General features: G+C 42.8%; 1 protein-coding gene and 1 pseudogene across 2 annotated transcripts in view, besides 2 other annotated features; one reads left to right on the top strand and one right to left on the bottom strand.

The window, feature by feature from the left end:
- The window catches only part of PUDP (pseudouridine 5'-phosphatase), a 442,316-nt gene that overhangs the window by 154,429 nt on the left and 260,809 nt on the right, over positions 1-27,078 (top strand). For both annotated transcript variants that reach the window (XR_007068202.1, XR_001755734.2), the window contains exons 4-5: positions 15,382-15,560; positions 16,483-16,592. The gene's annotated coding sequence lies outside the window, so the exon portion shown is untranslated. The remainder of the gene's footprint in view (positions 1-15,381; positions 15,561-16,482; positions 16,593-27,078) is intronic.
- On the bottom strand, positions 3,704-4,396 carry RPS27AP17 (RPS27A pseudogene 17; annotated as a pseudogene).
- Positions 17,315-17,485: a silencer, noted in NCBI's record as "fragment chrX:6894281-6894451 (GRCh37/hg19 assembly coordinates)". NCBI's record gives its function as "represses an EF-1alpha promoter that drives an FKBP-Casp9 reporter gene in an ReSE screen in K562 erythroleukemia cells {active_cell/tissue: K562}" and the evidence as "EXISTENCE:reporter gene assay evidence [ECO:0000049][PMID:32094911]".
- Positions 26,502-27,015: an enhancer, noted in NCBI's record as "H3K27ac-H3K4me1 hESC enhancer chrX:6884751-6885264 (GRCh37/hg19 assembly coordinates)". NCBI's record gives its function as "activates a minimal SCP1, AML or CMV promoter by ChIP-STARR-seq in primed H9 embryonic stem cells {active_cell/tissue: H9 hESC(primed)}" and the evidence as "EXISTENCE:reporter gene assay evidence [ECO:0000049][PMID:30033119]".

Raw genomic sequence — 27,078 nt, 5'->3', positions numbered from 1 at the left:
TTTTAACAATATTATAAGATTAACAATATTAGTACAGTTAACATCATTGTATATAATTCTATGTGGCTATTTTTCCCCATTTTCAAAATGGCCTGTTATCAAATCCATGTATGAAGTGCATGTCAGATTGCCTCTATCTGAATATAAAGAAGTGTGTGTCACATAATGTGTGTGGCTTTCCCAGAGTCTGAGAGGACTCTGGACTTCCTCTGTTTCAGTTTTCATGGCACTCTTTCTTTAATACCCTCTCCTATATTTTCACAAACCCCAGAGATACCTCAGTGGAAATGAACAGGCTCAGCCTTGGTTATAATTTGCTTCCTATTTTTGTTACATTTCGTTACATTTTGTTATCTTTCTGTAAGTAATAATACCAGGGAACTTTGGGAAAAGAAATCATTCTAGAGACCATCAACTCCAGCTCCCTTATTTCACAGACCTAAGGATTCATCCAAGGTGCTAAGGGACATGCCCAGGTGTATTACTCAGGGTTCTGTAGAGGGACAGGACTAATAGGATAGAGGTATATATAAAGGGGAGTTTATTAAGGAGTATTGACTCACATGATCACAAGGTGAGGTCCCACAATAGGCTGTCTACAAGCCAAGGAGGAAGGAAGCCAGTCTGAGTCCCAAAACCTCAAAAGTAGGGAAGCTGGTGATAGTGCAGCCTTCAGTCTGTGGCCAAATGCCCCAGAGCCCCTGACAAACCACTGGTATAGGTCCAAGAGTTCAAAAACTGAAGAACTTGGAGTCTGATGTTCAAGGGCAGGAAGCATTCAGCATGGGAGAAAGATGGAGGCCAGAAGACTCATCCAGTCTAGTTTTTCCATGTTCCTCTACCTGCTTTTATCCTAGCTGCATTGGCAGCTGATTGAATGGTGCCTACCCAGATTAAGGGTAGTAGGTCTGCCTCTCCCAGTTCACTGACTCAAATGTTAATCTCCTTGGCAACACCCTCACAGACACACCCAGGAACAGTACTTTGCATCCTTCAATTCAATCAAGTTGACACTCAATATTAACCATCACAACAAGTTCTTACGCTGTTGAGTGGTGGAGCTCATTTCCCAGAGATCAAGTCTCACGTTCTTCCTACACCCCACTGCCTTTGGCTCATTCTGCCTGAGGTCAAACAATATTAAGACACCCTGGGCCGGGCGCGGTGGTTCACGCCTGTAATCCCAGCACTTTGGGAGGCCGAGGCGGGTGGATCATGAGGTCAGGAGATGGAGACCATCCTGGCTAACAAGGTGAAACCCCGTCTCTACTAAAAATACAAAAAATTAGCCGGGCACGGTGGCGGGCGCCTGTAGTCCCAGCTACTCGGGAGGCTGAGGCAGGAGAATGGCGTGAACCCGGGAAGCGGAGCTTGCAGTGAGCCGAGATTGCGCCACTGCACTCCAGCCTGGGCGACAGAGCGAGACTCCGTCTCAAAAAAAAAAAAAAAAAAAAAGACACCCTGAAAATTCTCCTTTAAGAACATTGCCCATGTTCAGAATGTAGCTCTATTTTGAACTTGAACATCAGCTGAGTAGACAAGTACATCCGATGCAACTGCAATCATGTCCTTGGAAATTTATAGCATCGCTTTCAAGCTCAACAACTTGTTGGCAGCCACCCAAACTTCAGTTCTGTCTCTAAGTAAAAATAAAATAGAATACATGTCATTAGCATAACTATGACATTTAGGCAAACTCAGGAACATTTAGACCTCATGCATCTGGGTAATTAATTATATAATTTTTTCTTACGCATAGATGTCCTTTCTTTATGTTTGTTACAGTCTCAAATTCCTCCCCTCTCAGAAGATAAGCCAAATATTTTCACTTTGTCACTCACTTTTTAAATTTTCTTTTTTTTCCTGTTTTTCTTTAAAAATTTTTCTTTCTTTTTTCCTTTTTATTTATTTTTCTTTTTTTGTCACTTACTTTTTTCTATTCTAAATGATTCTCTTTAAGTTATCAAACAAATGGGGAAAATAATGGGACTTAGCAGGTTATCTTAAGTGGTTATTTTTTAAAATTTTATTTTATTTTTTTTTTTTTTGAGACAAGGTCTTACTCTCTCACTCAGCTGGAGTTCAGTGGTGCAATCATAGCTCACAGTAGCCTCAACCTCCTGGACTCAAGTGATCCTCCTGCCTCAGCCTCCCAAGAAGCTGGAACTATAGGCACATGCCACCATGCCCAGCTAATTTTTAAATTTTTTATAGAGACAGGGTCTCACTCTGTTGCCCAGGCTGGTTTTGAACTCCTGGGCTCAAGCAATCATCTTGTCTCAGTCTCCCAAAGTGCTGGATTTCAGGTGTGAGCCACTATACCCAATATTTAAAAAAAATTTTTTTAAAGACATCAAATAAATGGGGAAAATAATGGGCCTGAGCAGGTTGTCTAAACACTTGACTTTGGTGATCACAAACAAGGCATTTACTTGCTGAGTGGGCAAGAAAAAAAAATCTTAAAAGAGACTCAAGTGCAAGTGATTGAGATACAAATATAGTATGTTTGTATTTGAATGGTCCGCTGGAGAGTAATGGTAAAAATGCACACAACCTCATCTGTGTGGGGCAGATAGAGAAGAACTTGCTTGGGGGCAAGCGTCCTGGCAAGCTAGGTATTGCAAAACCATAATGTCAAAAATTTGAAACAATTCCACAAGCCCAAACCTGACCAAAAGCCTAACCTGGGAAGTGCAAGCATGCTCCCGTGGGAATGAAACAAGTGACAGAAGCAACTATCAGCACTCTTGTGCCCGTGCAGAGAGGCAAAACACCCGCCAGTAGGCACTTTCCATCTGGAGTCACCCGAAACCAGGACTCTGTAACAAATAAACATTTATATTCTGACATTCTTTATATGCAGTGTCCACTAGCCTGACACCACCTCACACACCCTCTCTCCAACCTGCTGGCTCTCCCTCTCTTGGAAGGTACCAATTCCCAGTTTTCTGACTTCGTTCCTTCAATAAGGGAAGCTCTCTCTGCAGTTCCCGGCCCATGCGGCATTGGCATTTCCAGCGAGATGCATTCTCCCTCTGCCTACCCTGTCCCCACCTTCTGAGGCGAGATCCAGTTGCTACCACTCCTCTCTGCAGCCTGGACAGCTTCTCTCTCATTCTGCTGGAGACATTGGAGGCAGTTAGAAGGGGAAAATGGAAGAAGAGTCCAGCCAAAAAGAGTACTTTTGGGGCAGGAGAGGTGAAGGAGGAAACTGGAACTTAATTTTCTGTTGATTCCTCGTTTTTTAGAACTTTCTATTTGGGGAAGTTGGTTCAAATAAGTGAATTTTTCTTAATTAGAGGCTACCCTGGGAATCCCAAGAAAAGACATGGCCCTTGATATTGATGTACCCCTAGACCTTTGGGATAGATGGGCAAGTAGACAGATGTGTTCAATGGAGGGATTTTACATGGCAAACAGCAGTACACACAGACAGCCCAGAGCTCAGTATCGAGGCATTCGGGTTAGGGAGGGGCTCTTGAAGAAGCAAAGGCTCAAGGCAACCCCTGGAAGGGGCTCAGGATTTAGAATCCTGCATAAGCATTTCTCAGGAAGTTGGGAGATAACAGCCTTTGTGTGTGTGTGTGTGTGTGTGCATGCGCGCCTGCACATGTAAACCTAGGGTGTTTGAATGTAGGGCGTGGGAGGAGAGTTCCTGTTGGTTTGGAGTTAGTAGATTATAAGGTGCGACGTTGGGAGGGAAGGAAGTAATGCCAAAGAGGTGAGAAGGGACTAAGACACCAAAGTCCTCCTTCCCCTGCCTTCCCTGAGTCCTGGAGGAAGTCAGGAGGCTTTTCTGCTAGCTCCGAACATAACCACCACTAAAGGTGAGCAGCTTCTCTTTGTCAGTGCTCTACCTTATGTCAACTGGCTGAACAATCTCTATTTCAACTTATGACTTTTATTTTCTTAGTTCATGTCTCTTATTAACTCATACACGATTACTTGTCTGGTTTGTTGAAGCAATAAGACAACATTTGCCACAATAATGCCTGTCAAAGTGGCTGGCCATAAAACCTCCTGCACCACATTCATCTAAAAGGCACTTCCCATGAAGGCAACCAATTTTGCCATTGTCATGCACCTTGGAGTTTTTCAGGACAGCCAGCTTAATCTTCTTTCTGTAATGCATATTCTTTTTGGCAATGGCATAAGACTTCTTCATTTTCTTAGCACCACCATGAAATCTCAACACATGATGAAGAGTGGACTCCTCTTGAATGTTGTAGTCAGACAAAGTACGTCCATCTTCCAGTTGCTTGACAGCGAAGATCAGTCTTTGCTGGTCAGGAGAAATTCCTTCCTTATCCTGGGTCTTGGCCTTTACATTTTCTATTGTATCCAATGGTTCAATGTTGAGAATGATGGTCTTCTCCATTTTTACAAAGATCTGCATTTTTAAAAATCCAAAAAATATTTATTACATTCCCACTCTGAGGCAGGTGCTGTAACATTTGCTAGGAATACAAGGACCATCAAAACTAGATGGGTTCTTATCTCAGTGGTTAGTTAAATAATTACACAAATAAATGTGAATTTACAACTCTTCTAAGTGCAGTGAAGGATACAGATACATGAATATGTATACATTTATACATGCAAATATATATGCATGTATATGTATCTTATAAGGGGATTTGACTCAGTCTTGGGGGAGAGATGGTTCATTTGAAGAAGCGACATTCCAGTTGATATTTTGAAAGTGTTAACTAAGAGTTAACTAGGGAATACTTGGGTATGCATGTGGCAGGCTAGGTCTCACTAACAGCTGAACAGGCAGGCCTCCGTAACAACTGTTTCAGCACTGACTGAGTGGTGAAGTTAAATATTAAAAGCTGATAGAGCCAGTGTCCTTATACAAAGGCTGGAATGTAACAAAAGTCCACCAAGAGTTTTGCCCAGGCCTCTCCTGGGCCTTGAAGCATGACAAGATAATGAAGGAAATCTTAACAGGACCCTTTTAGGATTAAACAGTTTTATTGGGGGTCTGAAGAAACTCACCAGGCCTCCACAAACAAGTTTATTGGGGGTCTGAAGAAACTCCCCAAACCTCCATTCTTTAGCAGGAGATAAGATAAGGGTAATTACCCCAGCACCTGGACCCATTTAGATTAAGTCAATTTACTGAGGCTCCAGAGGAAGGCCTCCAGGACTCAGACCTTAGTTATGGATTAGAAGAAGTTAATCACTTAAAGCTTTAGATGAATACACACTTATGCGTAGACATATAGCTTAGAAGGCATATAAGCTCTGGAAAAGTTTGTAATTTTGAGTTGGTCTAGTGATAATTTCTAGGTCTTCTCCCTGCACCCGGTTACAGAAATGAAAACTCTCTTCTCTCCCAGTTCATCTCCATCTCATTATTGGGCCACGAGAATAAGCAGCCTGACCATTGGTTTGGTCCAGGAATATGCATGTTTAGGGGCTGGGGATATAGGAGAGAGCCAAAGCCAGCCAGCTGAGGGAAGAGTGGGAGCACCAAAAGAGATGAGGTTGGAGGAGCCTGACCTCGCTGGGTTTCGAGAAATCAGGTTCACAGTTTTGTCTTTGAAAATCTGCCTTTTCGTGGTGGTTCCACTGCAGATGGCAGATGAAAAAGAAAGAACACTATGCAGACCCACGAGGTTGCCCTAGGACATTTTTCCCCTCTTCCTGCATTGTATCCTTACTTTTTCATAAAAATGCCACTGAGAATCAGTGTAGAATTGACTTTGAAATCAGAATGTTGGTGTTTTCAATGGTATGACTTTGGGAAAATAACACCTGAGAACCTCAGTTTTCTCAAAATTAGAATGGAGATCGTAATACCTATAAGATTAAATGAAATCACATATGACCAGACATAACAGATGGTCAACAGATGGAAGCTTATTGCTATTCCCAAGTGATTGGTGATTAACTGATGTTCTAGACCAGGGATCAACAAACATTTTCTGTAAAAGCCAGGTAGTAAATATATTCCACTTTTTGGGCCATATGGTATCTGTCTCAATGGCTCAATTCTGCAGCTGCAGCAGGAAAACAGCCGTGGACAGTATGTCATGAATGGGCGTGACTGTGTTTTAATAAAACTGTATTTATAAACATGAGCAGTGGGCCACATTTGGCCCATGAGCATAGTTTGCCGACCCCCATTTAGAACATTTTCTGTGGGTCACGATATACAATGTATGCTATTAAGCAGTCTGTCTTAGTTGCTGTCACATATATAACAATCCAGTAACCCTGCAAGGTAGGTATTACTGCCTCTCCTTTACAACGAAAGCTCAGTGATGTTAAGAAATTCATTTCCATTCACACACTCAGCAGTTACTGCAAAATGAACCCCCGAGTCTCTAATTTCCTTGAGCTTAAGCTGGTTTCCTTATCGTGTTTCCTTCTTAACTTGGTGTTTAATGCTCCTTGGTTATCCTGATGTTCTTGGAGGAACATAGATGCCCATTATTCTTAGGGCACAGATATTTCTAACCTAAACTCTTTCCTCAGGCCACCTCTAAGGCTGCTGGATTTTGCATTTTTCTTCCCAGGTTTTTTAGCATATGCTCCCTGGGCTTTCTCTCTGCTGCTCTGTCCACATCCATCACATCCCACCTACGTGAAGCTCACACGTATAATTCTTCTTGGCTGGTGATTTCCAGTTTTTCAGGTTTCCCACATCAGAGGTGACTGCTCTGGAGCAGGCTTCTTAGCCTTTACTTTTATTTCGGCTGGATGGTGGATGAAATGGGGTGGGTCTTGGCAGGCAGCTGGAGGGAGGGTTGCATGCAAACGTTTTTAATTTGCATGAAGCAACTTAACAGGTCTGAGATTGGCAATGAAATTCTGCTTTGGGGATATTCGGATGCAGAAGAAAACGCAACGTGAACCCAATTTATTTTCTTCTGACACCTCTAAAACTATATTTCATACTTGCTCCTTTTTATCACCTCTGAGCAGTGGATTGCATGGATGCCTGGGGCTGATGGCCCTCCAGGATGCAAGTTTCCCTGGAAGCCGGGGAGAGAGCAGACACTAAATTCAGAGTCAAACACAATGACAGAAATAGCAAAAATCAAAGGTTCATGTCAGACCCGAGCCCTGGGCAACTTCTTGAGTTTTCCACTTTGCAGTCAAGTTAAGCCTTTAGAATGCTTTCAAAGGTGTCTCCTCTTCGGGGTACAATTTATTACATTTCTATTAAAATACAGGGGTGCCTCTTTCAGACTTCTGTGGCCGGAGGGGGCGATTGTCATCTGCTGTGGTTTTTCACTGTAATGAAAGCATAACTGGGAAGAGCCTGCGCCGAGCCCCTGGGCTGTGTGGGGTTGGAGGTGGTAGGTGCACTCCAAATGCAGTTCTCAGTGAACGTGAAAGGTCCCGCTGAGGGCGGTTTGTAGGGCTGTTACAGGAAAGGGGTCCGGATCCAGACCCCAAAAGAGGGCTCTTGGATCTCGCATAAGAAATAATTCAGAGCAAATCTGCAGAGTAAATTGAAAGTGAGTTTATTAAGAAAGGAGAGGAATAAAAGAATGGCTACTCTGATCATCGACAGGTCAGCCCCGAGGGCTGCTGGTTGCCCATTTTTATGGTTATTTCTTGATGATATGCTAAACAAGGGGTGGATTATTCATGCCTCCCCTTTTTAGACCGTATAGCATAACTTCCTAACGTTGCCATGGCATTTATAAACTGTCATGGCGCTGGTGGGAGTGTAGCAGTGAAGACGACCAGAGGTCACTCTCTTCACCATCTTGGTTTTGGTGGGATTTGGCTGGCTTCTTTACTGCAACCTGTTGCATCAGCAAGGTCTTTGTGACCTGTATATTGTGCCGACCTCCTATCTCACCCTGTGACTTAGAATGCCTTAACCGTCAGGGAATGCAGCCCAGTAGGTTTCAGCCTTATTTTACCCAGATCCTATTCAAGATGGAGTTGCTCTGGTTCACATGCCTCTGACAGAACCACTGAGTCACCCCTCCAGGAAGGTGGGCACTGAGAATTATTACGGGGCAAGAGGCTGCCTCCAGATGGGCCGTGTGGAAGGCCAGGTCTCACTAACACAGGCTTCCACAACAACTGTTTCAGCACTGACCGAGTGGTGAAGTTAAATATTAAAAGCTGATAGAGCCGGTGCCCTCATACAAAGGCCGGAATGTAACAAAAGCCCACCAAGAGTTCTGCCCAGGCCTTTCCTGGGCCTTAAAGCATGAAGATTTTAACAAAGTAATTCTTAGCAGGACCTATTTAGGATTAAACAGCTTTATTAGGGGTCTGAAGAAACTCCCTAAGTTTCCACAAACAAGCTTTATTGGGGACTAAAGGAACTCCCCAAACCTCCATGAGTTAGCAGGAGACAAAATAAGGGCAATCACCCCAGCACTTGGACCCACCTAGATTAAGTAAACTTACTGAGGCTCCAGAGGAAGGTCTTCAGGACTCAAATCTTAGTTATAGATTAAATGAAGTTAATTGCTTATATCTTTAGATGAATGCACACTTTACACATAGATGTATAGCTTAGAAGGTATAGAAGCTCTGGAAAACTTTGTAATTTTGAGTTGGTCTGGTGATAATTTCTAGGCCTTCTCCCTGTAACTGGCTGCAGAAGTAAAAAGTCCCTTCTTTCCCAGTTCATCTGCATCTCATTCATTGGTCCTCTAGAATAAGCAGCCTGACCCTTAGTTTGGTGTGGGAACAGCCGGGCTGTAGAACGATTTCTGAAGGCTTTTGACCAACCCAAAAGCACTTTTCCATAATAAAACTTGCAAAAATATCAAGTCCATTCATTTTTAAAAGTACCAGCCCCATAATGGCTCAGGCACTGATTTCTTGACTCTATGCTTTCAGTGGGCCAGTTGGTATTGAATCACCTAATTTTGGTTCTGGTGTTTCTGGCATTATATTTGCAAAGCACAGCCCCTGAGTGTACAAATAGTGTGAAACCCAAATTGCGTGAATCCTTAGATAAAATTCCTGTTCTGAAGGCAGGATTTTCCATGGATTCGGAGGCAGTATTCTCCTGCTTACACCCTGAATTTCCTGGAGTCACAAAGCATTTGAATGGTTTTTAAATCTGTACTGATGTAGTACAATCTAATTAATGTACCAGGAGGGTGGTGGCTGGCTCTGGGTGTGGCATTACTTGACTCCTGATTCAAGGAATCTTTTATGATTTACTAATTTATAGGAATTTAGGGAATTTTGGGAAGACATTGAACTAAAACTTAACCCACCTCCACTCCCTGATCTCCTCCCCATTTAATTTTTTTGTATAGCACTTATGGCACTCTATATTTTTCCTTAAAAAATAGAACAGCTATATTGAGATATCATTCACATACCACCCAATTCGCCCATTTCATGTGTACAATTGAATGCCTCTTAGTATATTCACAGGTTTGGGCAAACATCAGCACAGTGTATTTTAGATCACTTTCATCACTGCCCAAAATAAACCCCATACTCATTAGCTCCTTCTTTTCCTTCCCCTCTCCAGTCTCTGGCAGCCAATAGTCTGTCTTTCTGTCTTGATGGATTTGCCTATTCTGAACACTTCAAATAAATGGAATCATACAACCTGTGACTGAAACCACCTTTGCAAAAATCATAACTGAGAAAATTACGACAGTGAAAGACATCAGACCTAGCTGACATCATCTTATTTCTAACTGTCACCAGTGGAGGGTGTCCAGGTTCTTGACGTCTTGAATAAAAAATTGGACAAAATGCACACACAAAGCAAGGAAGGAATAAAGGGATTTATTGAAAACGAAAGTACACTCCACAGTGTGGGAGTGGGCCCGAGCATAGGGGATCAACGGTCCTGTTACATAATTTTTGGGAATTTAAATACCCTCTAGACAATTCCATTGGTTACTTGGGGTACGCCCTATGTAAATGAAGAGGATGAAGTAAAGTTACAAAGTTATTTACTTGGCCTATGCCCTATGGAGAGGATATTTCCTGTCATAGCTGAAGTGTGAATCGGCCTTCTGTTTCTTGCCTCCAGATTCTATTTTCTTACCTCATAACCTCTAAACTGTCCTTATTCATTACTGGGCGTAGGCTGAACTGGCTTTGGGAAGGAATTTAATATATAGTTTAAATAATAGCCCTTCCCGAAAGGCTAAACTGTTCTTGTAAAACAAATGAAAGACCACCAGCCAACAAGTCAAGATGAAAGGGGCTGGAGTTCTAAATATTACCAGCCATTATTCCAGAGATCATAAAATTTGCAACTTCCCCAATTACTCTTGAAGGTAACATCACTATTGTGAGCCTAAGACCAATATTTTGAGATTTTTTTTCATGTTTTTGCATTTCTAACAACCGGATGGCCCCATCTGGACCTGCCAACCAGTTCTGTGGTCCCCACCCGGGAACTGACTCAGCAGAAGAGAACGGCTTTGCTCCCTATGATTTCATCCCCAAGCCAACCAATCAACACTCCCGATTCACTGTCCCCCTACCCACCAAATTATCCTTAAAAACTCTGATCCCCAAGTTCTTGGGGACACTGATTCGAGTAATAATAAAACTCCGTTCTCCCGCACAGCCATCTTTGTGTGAATTACTCTTTCTCTATGGTAATTCCTCTGTCTTGATAAATCGCCTATGTCTAGGCAGCGGGCAAGGCGAACCCCTTGGGCAGTTACATGACCTTTTGTGCCTGGCTTCTTTCACTGAACCTCGTGTTTTCAAGGTTCCACCATGTTGCCAATGTATCAGAACATCATTCTTTTTTGTGGCTGGATCATATTCCATTGTATGGATGGACCACATTTTGTTTATCCTTTCGCCGGGCAATGGACATTTGTGTTGTTTCCACCTCTTGGCTATTATGAATAATACTGCCTTTGCAAAAGTATGACAGTGAGAGAAATCTGACATGGCTGACTCTGTCCCGCTTGTAGCCTCACAGGTTGGCCATTTTTGCTCATTCCTGGGCATGGGCCAAGCTAACTTTGGGACAAATTTGGCTTATAGTTTAAAAGATAATAGCCCTTCCCCCAAACTAAACTGTTTTTGGAAAACTGATGAAAAGCCACCAAGTTAGAAGGATGAGAGGGGCTTGAATTCCAAATAATTACCAGGCATCATTCTGGAGGTTGCAAGATTTGCAACTTCCCCAATTACTCCTGCAGATAACATCACTATGGCAGAACCTAAGATTGGCCTTTTGAGATGTCTTTTCAGGTTTTTGCATTTCTGACAATCAGATGGCTCCACCTGGACCCGTGACTCAACCAGTCTTGTAGCCTCCACCCAGAAGTGGACTCAGTGCATGAGGACCACTTACCACACCCCTATGATGGCATCCCCAACCAATAGCATGCCCCCTACACTAGTCCCTGCCCACCAAACTATCTTGGAAAAACCTCCAACCTCCAAGCCTTCGGGGATATTGATTTGAGTAATAATTCTGGAATGGCTGACCTCACGCCAATTAAGCTCTTTCTTTACTGCAGTGCCATGTCTGGGTGAGTTTATTTTATATTTGCAGTTGGCAGGAGGAACACATTAGGCAGTTACACTATGAACACCTGTGTACACATTGTGTCTGTGTGTGTGTGTGTGGCTCCGTAAGTTCTAATTTCTCTTGGGTATATGCTTGTGTGTGTGTATTTGTGTGTGTGTGTGTATGTGTGTGTCTCCATAAGTTATCATTTCTCTTGGGTATGTGCGTGTGTGTATGTGTGTGTGTGTGTGTGTGTGTGTGTGTATCCATAAGTTCTCATTTCTCTTGGGGGTGTGTGTGTGTGTGTGTGTCTGTAAGTCCTCATTTCTTTTGGGTGTAATCCTAGGAACAGAATTGCCAGTCACCATGAAGGCCTGGACTTTGGCTGCATTGTTTATTCTGCCCGGCATCCAGCAGATGTGCACCAAACTCTTGTAAAATGAATATACGAATTTTAAAATCCTAATCTGAAGGTCTGTGTCCAATCCTTGCCTTTTTTCCGATTGACTCTACGATTTGGGGAAAGGCAAAAATGTTTCTTGACCTCAATTTTCACATCTCTAAAATTTTGGACTGGAATAGATGATTTCTAAAATGGCCCAAGAAGTAAAATATATGAAATGATGGGGCTGAGGTTACTTTTCCCTTAAAACATAGGGAAAATGAAAAAATAACTTTTAAATCGGGGTTGGGATTTATAGGTTAAAAAATGGCTTTGTAATTATTTCCAGTTCTTGGAACAGAAGGCATTTTTCAAGCGAGACTCTCTGATGAAACTTTTAATTTTTTTTTATACTAACAATGGCACTAAAAATGCTATATCGGCTGTTTCAAGAATATGGGAATAACCACGGTAAGAAGCACTCATTAGTAGATAAGCCATAGCAATAAGTATATAGAGAAAGTTTTATTAAACACCTGCCAGTTTTAAAACATTGGGGTTTCTTCCTAACCTTTTTAAATCAAAAAACAGAAACATGTACAACATAGAGAAAATAATGGCAATGAACATGATGTAACTCAGCTTCAACAGTTCTCAACTGCTGACCAATCTTGTTTCAATTACCCCCCACCAACTGGCTCATTTTGAAGTAATTCCCAGACATCACATCATCTTATCCATCAATATTTCTGCGCCACATAGGATTTGGGTGAAGATTTGAATTTAGTTGATGCTGAAGCTCAGCTTCAATCCAATTCAACATCAATTTATGGAGCCTTGAGCTTTTGTCGGTCTCATGCTGGGTTGTGTGGGTGATGTGGAGATGAGTATCACACAGCATCTGTTTTTCATGCTTTCTCTAGTGGGAAATAAAGCACCATGCAAAGGAGAGAGTGCAGTTTTCCCTTGGTATCTGTGGGGGATTGGCTCCAGGAACCCTGTGGATACCAAAATCCACAGATGTCCAAGTCCCTGTTATAAAATGTCGTGGTACGTGCATATAAACTACACAATCCTCCCATATACTTTAAATCATCTTTATATTACTTAGAATACTTCATACAATGTAAATAGTATGTAAATAGTTGCTATACTCTCTTGTTTACAGAATAATGACAAGAATAAAAGGACATACGTGTTCAGTACAGACATAATCATTCTTGTTGTTTTTTTTTTTTTAATTTTCATCCATAGTTGGTTGAATCCTCAGATGCGAAACCCATGGATACAGAGGGCCGGCTGTAATGCACCTTGAGTGCTGCAAAACTGATAACAGAGCTACCATTGGAGGTGCTAATGGTCAACAACAAAGGAGGAAGTTAATATTGTAAAAGGAGGCCAGGCACTTTGGCTCATGCCTGTAATCTCAGCAATTTGGGAGGCTAAGGCGAGAGCATCTCTTGAGCCCAGGAGTTCAAGACCACCCTCGGCAACAGAGCAAGACCCCTTCTCTACAAAATATTTAAAACATTAGCCAGGTATGGTGGCACATGCCTGCAGTCTCAGCTCCTGCAGAGGCTAAGGTAGAAGGATCACTTTAGCCTAGGAGGTTAAGGCTGCAGTGAGCCATGATTTTACCACTGCACTCTAGCCTGGATAACAGAACAAGACCCTGTCTCAGAGAAAAGAAAAGAAAAGAGAAGAGAAGAGAAGAAGGAAGGAAGAAGGGAGGGAGGGAGGGGAGGGGAGAGGAAGGGAGGAGAGGAGAGGAGAGGAAAGAAAGGAAAGGAAGGAAGGAAGGAAGGAAAGAAGAAGAAGAGAAGAGAAGAGAAATGAGAAAAGAAAAGAAAAGAAAAGAAGAAAAACTACCTATCGGGTACTATGCTCATGATCTGGGTTTGCAATCTACCCAAGTAACAAACCTGCACATGTAACCCCTCAATCTAAAATAAGTCAGAAAATAAAGAAAAAATATGGTTTTTAAAAGCAGAAGCCAAAGTTCAACTATAGAAAAAAAATTTCATACTGATTATTATAATTTTAATTCTAGAGCTACTATTTGCCTCTTTTTAAAGAATTGCTTTGACAATTTTTATCAATTCTTTCTCCTTTTTGATATTTTCAAGCTTTAAAATTTTATTTAAATATAATAAACATATTTATTTAATTAATTAAAAAAAAGCACTGGAAGCCAAGCTTTGCTTAGTCCTCGCCTATCAGCAATGCCCTATTGGCTTTCTGCAGGGACCTAGCATCAATTATCCGTCTCTGGAAAAGGCTTAGCAGGAACTAGGTGCCCTGTTTCATTTTCCAATAAAATGATTCTATTATACATATCTTCCCCCTCATATCCCATTCCTTAAATATGCCTTTTGTGCCTATAGACCAACCATTCATTACCATTTTATGCTATTGTCTTTATTTCCAAAGTGGGAGCAGCTTATTCATTTTATTTTTTATCTACAAGGATTTTGTGGAACAAACTTGCTCAGGATCTAGAACACTATAATCGGCAATTTCACTTGCTTTTTTTCACCAGTATGTTCATGGAGAGTATCTTTCTAAGTGTCCTTCAGATGTGTGTGGAGGAGGTGGTGGGGGACAGAGAGTGACCACCTATAATTCGAGGAGCTAAACAAAATAAACAAAGATCCTGCATGGTATTTATTTTGAAATACTTTAATCATGGTATGTTAATGTGTGCTGTTGAATGCATGCTAATTTAGCTGTAAGGAGACACACTTTGGAGGGTACCATACTATTACGCGACATAACAAATTATGACATTTTATGCATGATAACATTGTGTTATAGCATTATATAACATTAGGTATTAATTAAAATAATTTTAATCGAGAAACAACCCTCAGCCACCAGTCTTTGTTTCTTGCCCAAAAATGTTTTATCCTCTGCACATGCTCCTTGATTTCTGCGTATATGGTGTCTGCTTTAAGTTGCTTGGGTTTTTTAAGAAGCAAGGATTCTATTAGTGTTAGCAGTTGCTTTGAGGTCCACATCTGGATGTCCTGAGGCTGGTGAATGGACTTGGGAATGGAAAATGGAGCAGTTTTATCAAGAGACAAGAAAGCAAGATTGTAGAATACAATTCACACTTTCTGCTGCACCAACAGTCTTCCCATTTGCTTTTGGCAACTTCTCAGTACCACGATCACTGACCATACCTATCTGTAAAAATATTCATTGGCTAAGATGGCCCAGAATTGATTCTTGAAAGATTTTTTAGTTATTCTTTTATTTTATTATGTCTTTTTTGTTTAAGTCTGAGATGACTGTTGTTCATTTTTTGTTACGTCATCTGTCTGTTATTATAAACATTTTTAACAACCTTTGACCTAATAGAGTCAACTATTGCTCTTTTCTCATTCCTTAATGGTGAGTACAATCTGGACAACGATACACATGTATTAAAAACAAATTAAACTAAAATTAAACAAATAGCTACTTTTTTCCAAAAATGTTAACAGCACAGGGAAAAATGAATACAAATAGTGTTTACATTGTAAATCCAAGTTGTTCTCTCTCTCTCTCTCTCTTTTTTTAGAAAGAACATTACATGGCATTTCCTACTGAAGATGGGACTTAGCACAAAAACCATCATGGATTCCATCAAAGAGATCATTAATGTCTCAAAACGTCTCCAAGGATACATGATCTACAAAGGACCACAGAGTGCCCTGCAGAATTGGGTTGAAAAACTAAAGAAGGCAAACAGAGTTTATGGTAAGGTTCTGTGTTACTAGACTGCCCTTGAACCCATAGCCATGGAATTTGTTCAAATCCTACACACACTGTTTAAGGCATTGTTTAATTGGCATCTTCTGTGTGAGGAATCATCAGTGCCATGTACCACTTTATGATAACCTGGGACTCTGGCCCCAGACTCCAGTGTCCAGGCTAGCAGGGCTGGACCATGTGAAGGACTTGTTTTGCAAGGACAGGAGGTAGCCAAGACCTGGAACCCAAAGAGGTTTCATGATGTTCTTGAACATCTTCCTGGCAAGTCCATATTACAAAATGGCAGAGCACAGGCTCAGATTCAGACTGTGGAGCTAGCTCATGCATTGTCTATGCAAGTGCTGACTTTCTCTGCCATGGCGGAGCTTCCTATGGCCAGGCCAGATAAAGGTATCAGCATTTTAGCCTCAGCTGGTAGAGCCTCTTTTTCCTGGCTTTTGGTTTGCCAAGTCACTGTCCAAGTATCTGAGTAGCAACAACACATGGAGACCTAAGCAGAGGTCCCAGGTGGGACTCCTGGGATGCTCTCACTTTAGTAATGTTGATTTCAGCTTTATATCACTTGCCTTTAATAGTCAAGGTGTCCAAAGTCACAAATTCAAACCCCAATGGAAGAAAATAATAATTTGTTCCATGGGTGCAAAAATACAGTCTGATGTCTCAAATTTATTCCATTGATTATTCTTTAAACTAGAAGAGGTACATGTCAACACAGAAATGGTCTTTATTATGGAGAACAAATTCCTTGAAGGTGTATACTATTGATTCTAGGTCAACAATGTCATTTTCAGACTTGCAGGGCAGCAAAGTTTTGCTTAAAACTCCCTCCTCTTAGATGATTCCAGCAGTCACCTTACTGTCTACATCCTGAAGGTGTCCTTGATACTACATTTTCTGCTCCTCTAAGGTAAGGCGGCAGTCTCTGGTCCCCGTTGTGAGATTGGGTTCTTCCTGCCTGTTCCTGGAGTGGCATGGAGAAAAGAGCATGGATTTGCAGAAGAGACACTTGAGAGAGAGGTAGGAAACTCTGTATTTATTTAAATGCAAGCTCAAATATTGCAAATTTAGTAAAACATGTGGGAAGAGTTCTTTTACAGAGCAATTTTCTGTTGCCTAGGATATAAATCCTTAGAGTTTTTCTGTGTAGTGATTGGCATTTACAAATAAGAACCTTCCCTGTTTTGCAAGGTTACATGTTAGTTAATGTTTGCAATGCCTCTTGAGTGGCTAATTATTTTGTTTATATTCCATGCTCAAAAAATCAGAGGAGAGGAGTTTCACCTCAGGCTTTGGCTCTGAGAACAGTACAGCAGAAGCTTTGATTTTCATCCATAGAAAGTAATAGGGGGTTGAAGTCTCCAAATGACCAGAGGTCAGATGCCCCTTGATGCTGTGTTGTTCTTTAAGTGGAACCCACATTCAGAATTCTCTAAGGAAGGAGCTGGGACAGAGGTGCTAAACTTTGGCTCAGAAAAGATCCTCTTGGGTGGCTGGCGAGATGACTGAATAGGAACAGCTCCAGTCTGCAGCTCCCAGTGAGATCAACGCAAAAGGCAGATGATTTCTGCATTTCCAATTGAGGTACCCAGCTCATCTCATTGGGACTGGTTAGACAGTGGGTGCAGCCCATGGAGGGTGAGCAGAAACAGGGTGGGGCGTTGCCTCACCCAGGAAGTGCGAGAGGTTGGGGAACTCCATCCTCTAGCCAAGGGAAGCTGTGAGGGACTGTGCCATGAGGAATGGTGCATTCTGGCCCAGATTCTATGCTTTTCCCATGGTCTTTGCAACCCGCAGACCAGGAGATTCCCTCCGGTATCTATACCACCAGGGCCCTGGGTTTCAAGCACAAAACTGGGCAGCCGTTTGGGTAGACACCAAGCTAGCTGCAGGAGATTTTTTTTCATACCCCAGTGGCTCCTGGAATGCCAGCAAGACAGAACTGTTCACTCCACTGGAAAGAGGGCTGAAGCCAGGGAGCCAAGTGGCCTAGATCAGTGGATACCACCCCCATGGAGCCCAGCTAGTTAAGATCCACTGGCTTGAAATTCTCACTGCTGGCACAGCAGTCTGAGGTCAACCTAGGACACTCAAACTTGGTTGGGAGAGGGGCATCCACCATTACTTAGGCTTGAGTAGGCGGTTTTCCCCTCACAGCGTAAACAAAGCTGCTGGGAAGTTCAGATGGGGCAGAGCTCACTGGCTGCAAAGCTGCTGCAGCCAGACTGCCTCACAAGATTCCTCTTCTCTGGGCAGGGCATCTCTGAAAGAAAGGCAGCAGCCCAAGTCAGGGGCCTATATATGAAACTCCCATCTCCCTGAGACAGAGCACCTGGGGGAAGGGGCGGCTGTGGGCGCAGCTTCAGCATTCCTGCCTGCTGGCTCTGAAGAGAACAGTGGATCTCCCAGCACAGTGCTCAAGCTCTGTTAAGGGTCAGACAGCCTCCTCAAGTGGGTCCTTGACCCCCGTGCCTCCTGACTGGGAGACACCTCCCAGTAGGGGTCAACAGACACCTCATACAGGAGAGCTCTGGCTGGCATCTGGCGGGTGCCCCTCTGGGATGAAGCTTCCAGAGGAAGGAACAGGCAGCAATCTTTGCTGTTCTGCAGCCTCCACTGGTGATACCCAGGCAAATAGGGTCTGGAGTGGACCTCCAGCAAACTCCAGGAGACCTGCAGCAGAGGGGCCTGACTGTTAGAAGAAAAACTAACAAGCAGAAAGGAATAGCATCAACATCAACAAAAAGGATGTCCACACAAAAACCCCATCTGAAGGTCATCAACATCAAAGACCAAAGGTAGATAATTCCACAAAGATGAGGAAAAACCAGTATAAAAAGGCTGAAAATTCCAAAAACCAGAATGCCTCTTCTCCAAAGGATCACAACTCCTCGCCACCAAGGGAACCAAACTGGACGGAGAATGAGTTTGATGAATTGACAGAAATAGGCTTCAGAAAGTGGGTAATAACAAACTCCTCTGAGCTAAAGGAACATGATCTAACCCAATGGAAGGAAGCTAAGAACCTTGAAAAAAGGTTAAAGGAATTGCTAACTAGAATAATCAGTTTAGAGAAGAACATAAATGACCTGATGGAGCTGAAAAACACAGCACGAGAACTTCATGAAGCATAAACAAATATCAATAGCCGAATCGATCAAGCAGAAGAAAGGATATCAGAGATTGAAGATCAACTTAATGAAATAAAGTGTGAAGACAAGATTAGAGAAAAAAGAATGAAAAGGAATGAACAAGCCTCCAAGAAATATGGGACTATGTGAAAAGACCTAACTTACATTTGATGGGTGTTCCTGAAAATGACGGGGAAAATGGAACCAAGTTGGAAAACACTCTTCAAGTTATTATCCAGGAGAAATTCCCCAACCTAGCAAGAGAGGCCAACATTAAAATTCAGGAAATACAGAGAACACCACAAAGATACTCCTTGAGAAGAGCAACCCCAAGACACATAATCGTCAGATTCACCAAGGTTGAAATGAAGGAGAAAATGTTAAGGGCAGCCAGAGAGAAAGGTCGGGTTACCCACAAAGGGAAGCCCATCAGACTAACAGTGGATCTCTCTGCAGAAACACTACAAGCCAGAAGAGAGTGGGGACCAATATTCAACATTCTTAAAGAAAAGAATTTTCAACCCAGAATTTCATATCCAGTCAAACTATGCTTCATAAGTGAAGAAGAAACAAAATCCTTTACAGACAAGCAATTGCTGAGAGATTTTGTCACCACCAGGCCTGCCTTACAAGAGCTCTTGAAGGAAGCACTAAATATGGAAAGGAAAAACCAGTACCAGCCACTGCAAAAACAGCAAATTGTAAAGACCATTGACACTATGAAGAAACTGCATCAACTACATCAACTAACTGGCAAAATAACCACCTGGCATCACAATGACAGGATCAAATTCACACATAACAATATTAACCTTATATGTAAATGGGCTAAATGTCCCAATAAAAAGACACAGACTGGCAAATTGGATAAAGAGTCAAGACCCATCAGTGTGCTGTATTCAACATACCCATCTCACATGCAAAGACACACATAGGCTCAAAATAAAGAGATGGAGGAATATTTACCAAGCAAATGGAAAGCAGAAAACAGCAGGGGTTGCAATCCTAGTCTCTGATAAAACAGACTTTGAACCAACAAAGCTCAAAAAGGACAAAGAAGGGCATTACATAATGATAAAGGGATCAATTCAACAAGAAGAGCTAACTATCCTAAATATATATGCACCCAATACAGGAGCACCCAGATTCATAAAGCAAGTTCTTAGAGACCTACAAAGACTTAGACTCCCACACAATAATAGTGGGAGACTTTAACACCCCACTGTCAATATTAGACAGATCAACAAGACAGAATATAAACAAGGATATTCAGGACTTGAACTCAGCCCTGGACCAAGCAGACCTGATAGACATCTACAAAACTCTCCACCCCAAATCAACAGAATATACATTCTTCTCAACACCACATCGCACATATTCTAAAATTGACCACATAATTGGAAGTAAAACACTTCGCAAATGCAAAAGAGTGGAAATCATAACAAACAGTCTCTCAGACCACAGTGCAATCAAATTACAACTCAGGATTAAGAAACTCACTCAAAACTGCACAACTACATGGAAACTAAACAACCTGCTTGTAAATGACTACTGGGTAAATAATGAAATTAAGGCAGAAATAAATAAGTTCTTTAAAACCAATGAGAACAAAGACACAACATACAAAAATCTATAGGACACAGCTAAAGCAGTGTTTCGAGGGAAATTTATAGCACTAAATGCCCACAGGAGAAAGTGGGAAAGATCCAAAATTGACACCCTAACATCACAATGAAAAGAACTAGAGAAGCAAGAGCAAACAAATTCCAAAGCTAGCAGAAGACAAGAAATAACTAAGATCAAAGCAGAACTGAAGGAGATAGAGACATGAAAAACTCTTCAAAAAATCAATGAATCCAGGAGCTTGTTTTTTGAAAAGATAAACAAAATAGATAGACTGCTAGCCAGACTAATAAAGAAGAAAAGAGAGAAGAATCAAATAGACACAATAAAAAATTACAAAGAGGATATCACCACTGATCCCACAGAAATACAAACTACCATCAGAGAATACTATAAATACCTCTATGCAAATAATCTAGAAAATCTAGAAGAAATGGATAAATTCCTGGACACATACACCCTCCCAAGACTAAACCAGGAAGAAGTCGAATCCCCGAATAGGCCAATAACAAGTTCTGAAAATGAGGCAGTAATTAATAGCTTACCAACCAAAAACAGCCCAGGACCAGATAGATTCAGAGCTGAATTCTACCAGAGGTACAAAGAGGAGCTGGTACCATTCCTTCTGAAACTATTCCAAACAATAGAAAAAGAGGGACTCCTCCCTAACTCATTTTATGAGGCCAGCATCATCCTGATACCAAAACCTGGCAGAGACACAACTAAAAAAGAAAATTTCAGGCCAATACCCCTGATGAACATCGATGTGAAAATCCTCAATAAAATACTGGCAAACTGAATCCAGCAGCACATCAAAAAGCTCATCCACCATTATCAAGTCGGCTTCATTCCTGGGATACAAGGCTGGTGCAACATACACAAATCAATAAACATAATCCATCACATAAACAGAACCAATGACAAAAACCACATGATTATCTCAGCAGATGCAGAAAAGGCCTTCAATAAAATTCAACACCTCTTCATGTTAAAACTCTCAATAAACTAGGTATTGATGGAACGTATGTCAAAATAATAAGAGCTATCTATGACAAACCCACAGCCAATATCATACTGAATGGGCAAAAGCTGGAAGCATTCCCTTTGAAAACCAGCACAAGACAAGGATGCCCTCTCTCACCACTCCTATTCAACATCATATTGGAAGTTCTGGCCAGGGCAATCAGGCAAGAGAAAGAAATAAAGGATGTTCAAATAGGAAGAGAGGTCAATTGTCTGTTTGCAGATGACATGATTGTATATTTAGAAAACCCCATCATCTCAGCTCAAAATCTCCTTAAGCTGATAAGCAACTTCAGCAAAGTCTCAGGATACAAAATCAACGTGCAAAAATCACAAGCATTCCTATACACCAATAATAGACAAACGGAGAGCCAAATCATGAGTGAACTCCCATTCACAATTGCTACAAAGAGAATAAAATACCTAGGAATACAACTTACAAGGGATGTGAAGGACCTCTTCAAGGAGAACTACAAACCATTGCTCAAGGAAACAAGAGGACACAAACAAATGGAAAAACATTCCATGCTCATGGATAGGAAGAATCAGTATCGTGAAAACGGCCATACTGCCAAAAGTAATTTATAGATTCAATGCTATCCCCATCAAGCTACCACTGACTTTCTTCACAGAATTAGAAAAAACTACTTTAGGCCAGGCGCAGTGGCTCACGCCTGTAATCCCAGCACTTTGGGAGGCCGAGGCGGGCAGATCACGAAGTCAGGAGATCAAGACTATCCGGGCTAACAAGGTGAAACCCCGTCTCTACTGAAAATACAAAAAAAAAAAAAATTAGCCGGGCGTGGTGGTGGGCGCCTGTAGTCCCAGCTACTTGGGAGGCTGAGGCAGGAGAATGGCATGAACCAGTGAGGCGGAGCTTGCAGTGAGCCGAGATTGCGCCACTGCACTCCAGCCTGGGTGACAGAGTGAGACTCTGTCTCAAAAAAAAAAAAAGAAAAGAAAAAAGAGAAAAGAAAAAACTACTTTAAATTTCATATGGAACCAAAAAAGAGCCCATATAGCCAAGATAATCCTAAGCAAAAAGAACAAAGCTGGAGGCATCACGCTACCTGACTTCAAACTATACTACAAGGCTACAGTAACCAAAACAGCATGGTACTGGTATCAAACAGATATATAGACCAATGGAACAGAACAGAGGCCTCAGAAAAAAAGTCAGGTCTGTATAAATGGATCTGTCAGGTGGCGCATGAACATGCAGCATCCTCTTGTCCATAGCGGGACCTTTACCTGTAGCAGGTATAAGACAGGGGCTGAAGCTATTCTGACATCTGTTTTTTTTTGTTTTTTTGTTTTTTGTTTTTGAGATGGAGTCTTGCTCTATCACCCAGGCTGGAGTGCAGTGGTGTGACCTTAGCTCACTGCAACCTCCACCTCCCAGGTTCAAGCGATTCTCCTACCTCAGCCTCCTGAGTAGCTGGGATTACAGGCACCTGCTACCACGCCCAGTGAATTTTTGTAGTTTTAGTAGAGACGGGGTTTCACTATCAGGCTGGTCTTGAACTCCTAAACTCCCACCCACCTCAGCCTCCCAAAGTGCTGGAATTACAGGTGTGAGCCACTGCACCCAGCTGTTCTGACATCTATTGACCTTATCCATCATACAGGCAGTCCTCTCTTTTCCTCCTCTTGTATAACTTTATGGATAAAAAGCTTGGCTGGCTAAGTTAATATTAATACATCTAAATGAGATCCCGAAAGTCTGTGTTTGGAGCCACCTGGAGAGCAATCATTACTCTAGTCTTTGAAAAGATGAATAATTATTCTCTAGGGCAATTTTGTTTCAAAATATGAATGCAAAGGGGCTCAATGCTTATGGCCAAATAGGAGTCCAGTCTATTCTGCGTACCGCCAGGTCCTACCCCAGATAGATCCTCCTAATCTTGGGTTCGCTCAAATCCATCATCCATCCGGCAACCCCCTACTGCTCACCTCCCTACCCATAAAGCACCACAAAATTATTTTTTATGCCCAAAAGGAATAATTTATTTAAAAGGCCCTTTGCAGATAGTCATTGCATTCTAAAATGTTACACAACACAAAATAATTATTGTATAAACATTTAGCTTGAAATAATAGCATACCTTCCAAAAAATTTTACAAAGCGATTTTCAAAATGGCTAAATGATTGACAAAGAATGACTCAGTTGCTAAATTGTGTTAATTCAAACTCAGACTTATTTATTTTATTATTGCTATATTTCTTTGGATCTTCATTCTGAAGCCTCCCGTGTATACACATTGATTTGTGTGTCTTTTCTCCTATTTATCTGCCTTTTGTAAGTTTATTTTTCAGTGAAACTTCAGGGGACCCCGTGGCCCCTAAACCCCACACGTTTTATGCCCAAAAGGAATAATTTATTTAAAACACCCTTTTGTATGTATGTCATATTCTAGAATGTTACACAACACAAAGCAATTACTGTATAAACTTTTAGCTTGAAATAATAGCAGACCTTCCAAAAAATTTTACAAAGAGACTGGGTCTTGCTCTATGCAAGCTGCAGTGCAGTGGTGCAATCATAGCTCACTGCGGCCTTGAACTCCTGGGCTCAAAGAGTCCTCCCACCTCAGCTTCCCTAGTAGCTGGGACTACAGGTGTGCACCTCCATGCCTGGCTAATTTCAAAAGAAAATTTCTTGTCAACACTGGATCTTTCTATGTTGCTCAGGCTGGTTTCGAAATCCCAGCCTCAAGTGATCCTCCTGCCTCAGCCTCCCAAAGTGCTGAGATTATAAGCATGAGCCACTGCCCTGTGGGCCCAGATGTGCTTAGGGGAAAGTACTTTGTGTTTAGAAAATGTGATTAACCCTTCACAGTTTTCAGACACAATAGGTTGTGTCCTGCAGTTGTTATTAGTGTTTAAGGGATGATTAGCTTTTGCAAAGAGATCTGTTCTGAAAAACATAAGAGATCTACCTTTATTCCTACAGCAGGGCCTGATGTGGGAACATTTCTTCACACCTCACCCCTTGGGTTGCTCCCTGAGACACAGTCTGCCTTGGTGTGGCAGCCAAGAGACGAGGACACCTATGGCTTGGGTGGAGGTGGAGCTCCAGGCTGTCAAGCAGTCTATGGACAATGAAATGCCGGCCCATGACTATTTTAAGAGCAGATAGATGTTTTTAGCGGAGTTCATGTGGGTAGCAAGGTTTGTCATAGGACATCTCAGCCTTAGGGTGGTTTGGGAGTCATTCACACCCACCGTGCTCACATACACTCTGTTGCCTTCTTTTCACAGATGGTTTAGAGAGGCTTGGCCCCCTGTCTGTGGGGCCATGTCATGGCCATAAGGAAGGCAGTTAGTGCACAGGGGGAGCTGCTGGTCTCAGTAAATCCTAGAAGTGACTGAACAACGTTGACCAACACTAGATCTATGAGAAGATACTGGCAACAATGAAGCCTAGGCCCTTGGAAACATAAGAGATGAAGAAGGGCCAGGTGCGGTGGCTCACGCCTGTAAACCCAGCACTTTGGGAGGCCGAGGCGGGCAGATCATTTGAGGCCAGGAGTTTGAGACCAGCCTGGCCAACGTAGTGAAACCCTGTCTCTACTAAAAATACAAAAATTAGCTGGGTATGGTGGCACGTGCCTGTAGTCCCAGCTACTGGGGAGGCTGAGGCAGGAGAATTCCTTGAACTGGGGAGGTGGAGGTTGCAGTGAGCCGAGACTGTGCCACTGTACTCCAACCTAGGAAAAAGAAAAAAAAAAGGAGAGAAAGATGAAGAAGGTGGAAACTAATTACTCCAACCCCCTAAAACACAGACCCCTGCTCAGCCAGCACACTGCAGCTTTAAGAGATGATGGTGACACCAAACTCTCCCGCAGAGAGACGATCGGCCCCACCATCAGCTCTCCAGATCACAGACTCTGAGCCACAGTGAAGACAGTGACTCACACCCCCCTGCCCCAGACCCACAGGGCCAAAGTTTTCACATTCATGAGATTCCCAGATGGTTCACTTGCTCCTGAAACTGGGAAAGGCACGGACACATCCTTGTTAAACACAAACCTTCCCTTCCACTGATCCATCAGATAGAAATAGAATTTTGCATTTGCGTCTCTGCATCCCACCTTATTTCTATCCACTGTGTACTACACGGATGGTGGTGAGTATGTGCCTGTGTGCAAGTGTGTGGGGTGTAGGGGCCAAGGGGTCCCCTGAAGTTTCACTGGAAAATAAACTTACAAAAGGCAGATTAACAGGAGAAAAGGCACACAAATTAATGTGTACAAATAGGAGACTTCAGAATGAAGGCCCAAGGATACAGGGGAAACTATCCATTTTTATACTTAGGTTCAACAAAGCATGGACAGCATGTAGAAACAGGGTTGGACAAAAAGGGCCTGATCTAAAGCTAATGGACTGAGTGTGGAAACCCAGCCAGCCTGTCTGTCTAGATTCTTCTTGGCCTCTCTGAGCAGCGCTCTTTCCTTCTGGGTGTGAGGTGGGACCCTCTCTGGAATGGGGGTTTTAGGATCTACAGTCAAATAAGGTAGGTCAGGGAATTTCTTTATGGCTAGTTTTTACACAGAAAGGCAGAGGGAAAGTTAAAGTCCTATTTTTAGGTTTTATGGCTGGCTTTGGAGAGAAGGGTTCTGGTTTCTAGGACCAGCCAAGGGAAGGAGGGCTTCTAGTTTCTCTGAGGCCTCTGGGAAGGATGGGACTGAGAGACAGGAGGGCAGGAGAAGGTCACAGAGAGAAGTTCGCTTCCAAGGCCACTGCTGAGACCTGCATTTTGGGGCATTGTTTTCTGAGCCCCAACATGGGGTAGTGAGGAGTTAGTGATTGCTCTGGTTCTTTTTTAATGAAGGTGGGGACATTTTCACGGCATAGGTGCAAAGCGGCCACTCAAATGGACTTCTGGGTGAGGGAGAGCATCTGCTGCCACGCAGACCTGGATGGCAGAGCTGTATTCTCTTGGATCCTCTCAGAGCTCCAGAGGGTCACAGGGACGAGGCTGCAGCCTGCCTAAGAGGAAGGAGAACAGAAAGAAGAAGCAGAGTTCTGATGTCTTCAGGCAAGAAAAACATGCTGGGGACACCAGCTAAGGGGTGAGGGCCAGGATGGAAAGGAAAGGGCCAGGCAGGAAGCCAGAGTCAGGAGACAGCCAGGTCTAGCAGCATGGGGGAGGAACCGCGTGGGTCTGCACCAGATAGAAGGCCAGGGCGGCTGCAGATGCCTCTGTCCTCCTGTGGCAGCCGCTCTCTGGGAAAGGAGTCCTACAGGACCAACTCCTGCTTCCTGAAAGGAGGAACGTGACCAATTACCAATGACCCTCAACCCCTGAAACACGGCCCCCTACATACCCTCCCTAGACACAGCCCGTCTCTTTCCAGTCCAGAGAGAAGGCAGTGGTGCACTTCCCTTACCTTCCTCCAACCGGGAATCAGCTTCCACCCTCAGCCACGCTGTGGGAGCAGCACACATGAGGCCACCATCAGGGAACCTTGTTAAAACCAGCATCCCTGTTCCTCACCATCCTTAACATGCCTGAAGGTGGCTGGGTGGGTGCAGTGGCTCACACCTGTAATCCCAGCACTTTGGGAGGCTGAGGCAGGAGGGTCACTTGAGGCCAGGAGTTCAAGACCAACCAGGGCAATATAGCAAGACCCTATCTTCACAGAAAATACAAAAAATTAGCCAGCTGTGATGGTGCACACCTGTAGTCCCAACGACTCAGGAGGCTGAAGTGGGAGGATCTCTT

This window comes from Homo sapiens, chromosome X (assembly GCF_000001405.40).
Source record: "Homo sapiens chromosome X, GRCh38.p14 Primary Assembly".
Lineage (NCBI taxonomy): Eukaryota > Metazoa > Chordata > Mammalia > Primates > Hominidae > Homo > Homo sapiens.
This window is presented reverse-complemented; position numbering and strand designations above follow the sequence as displayed.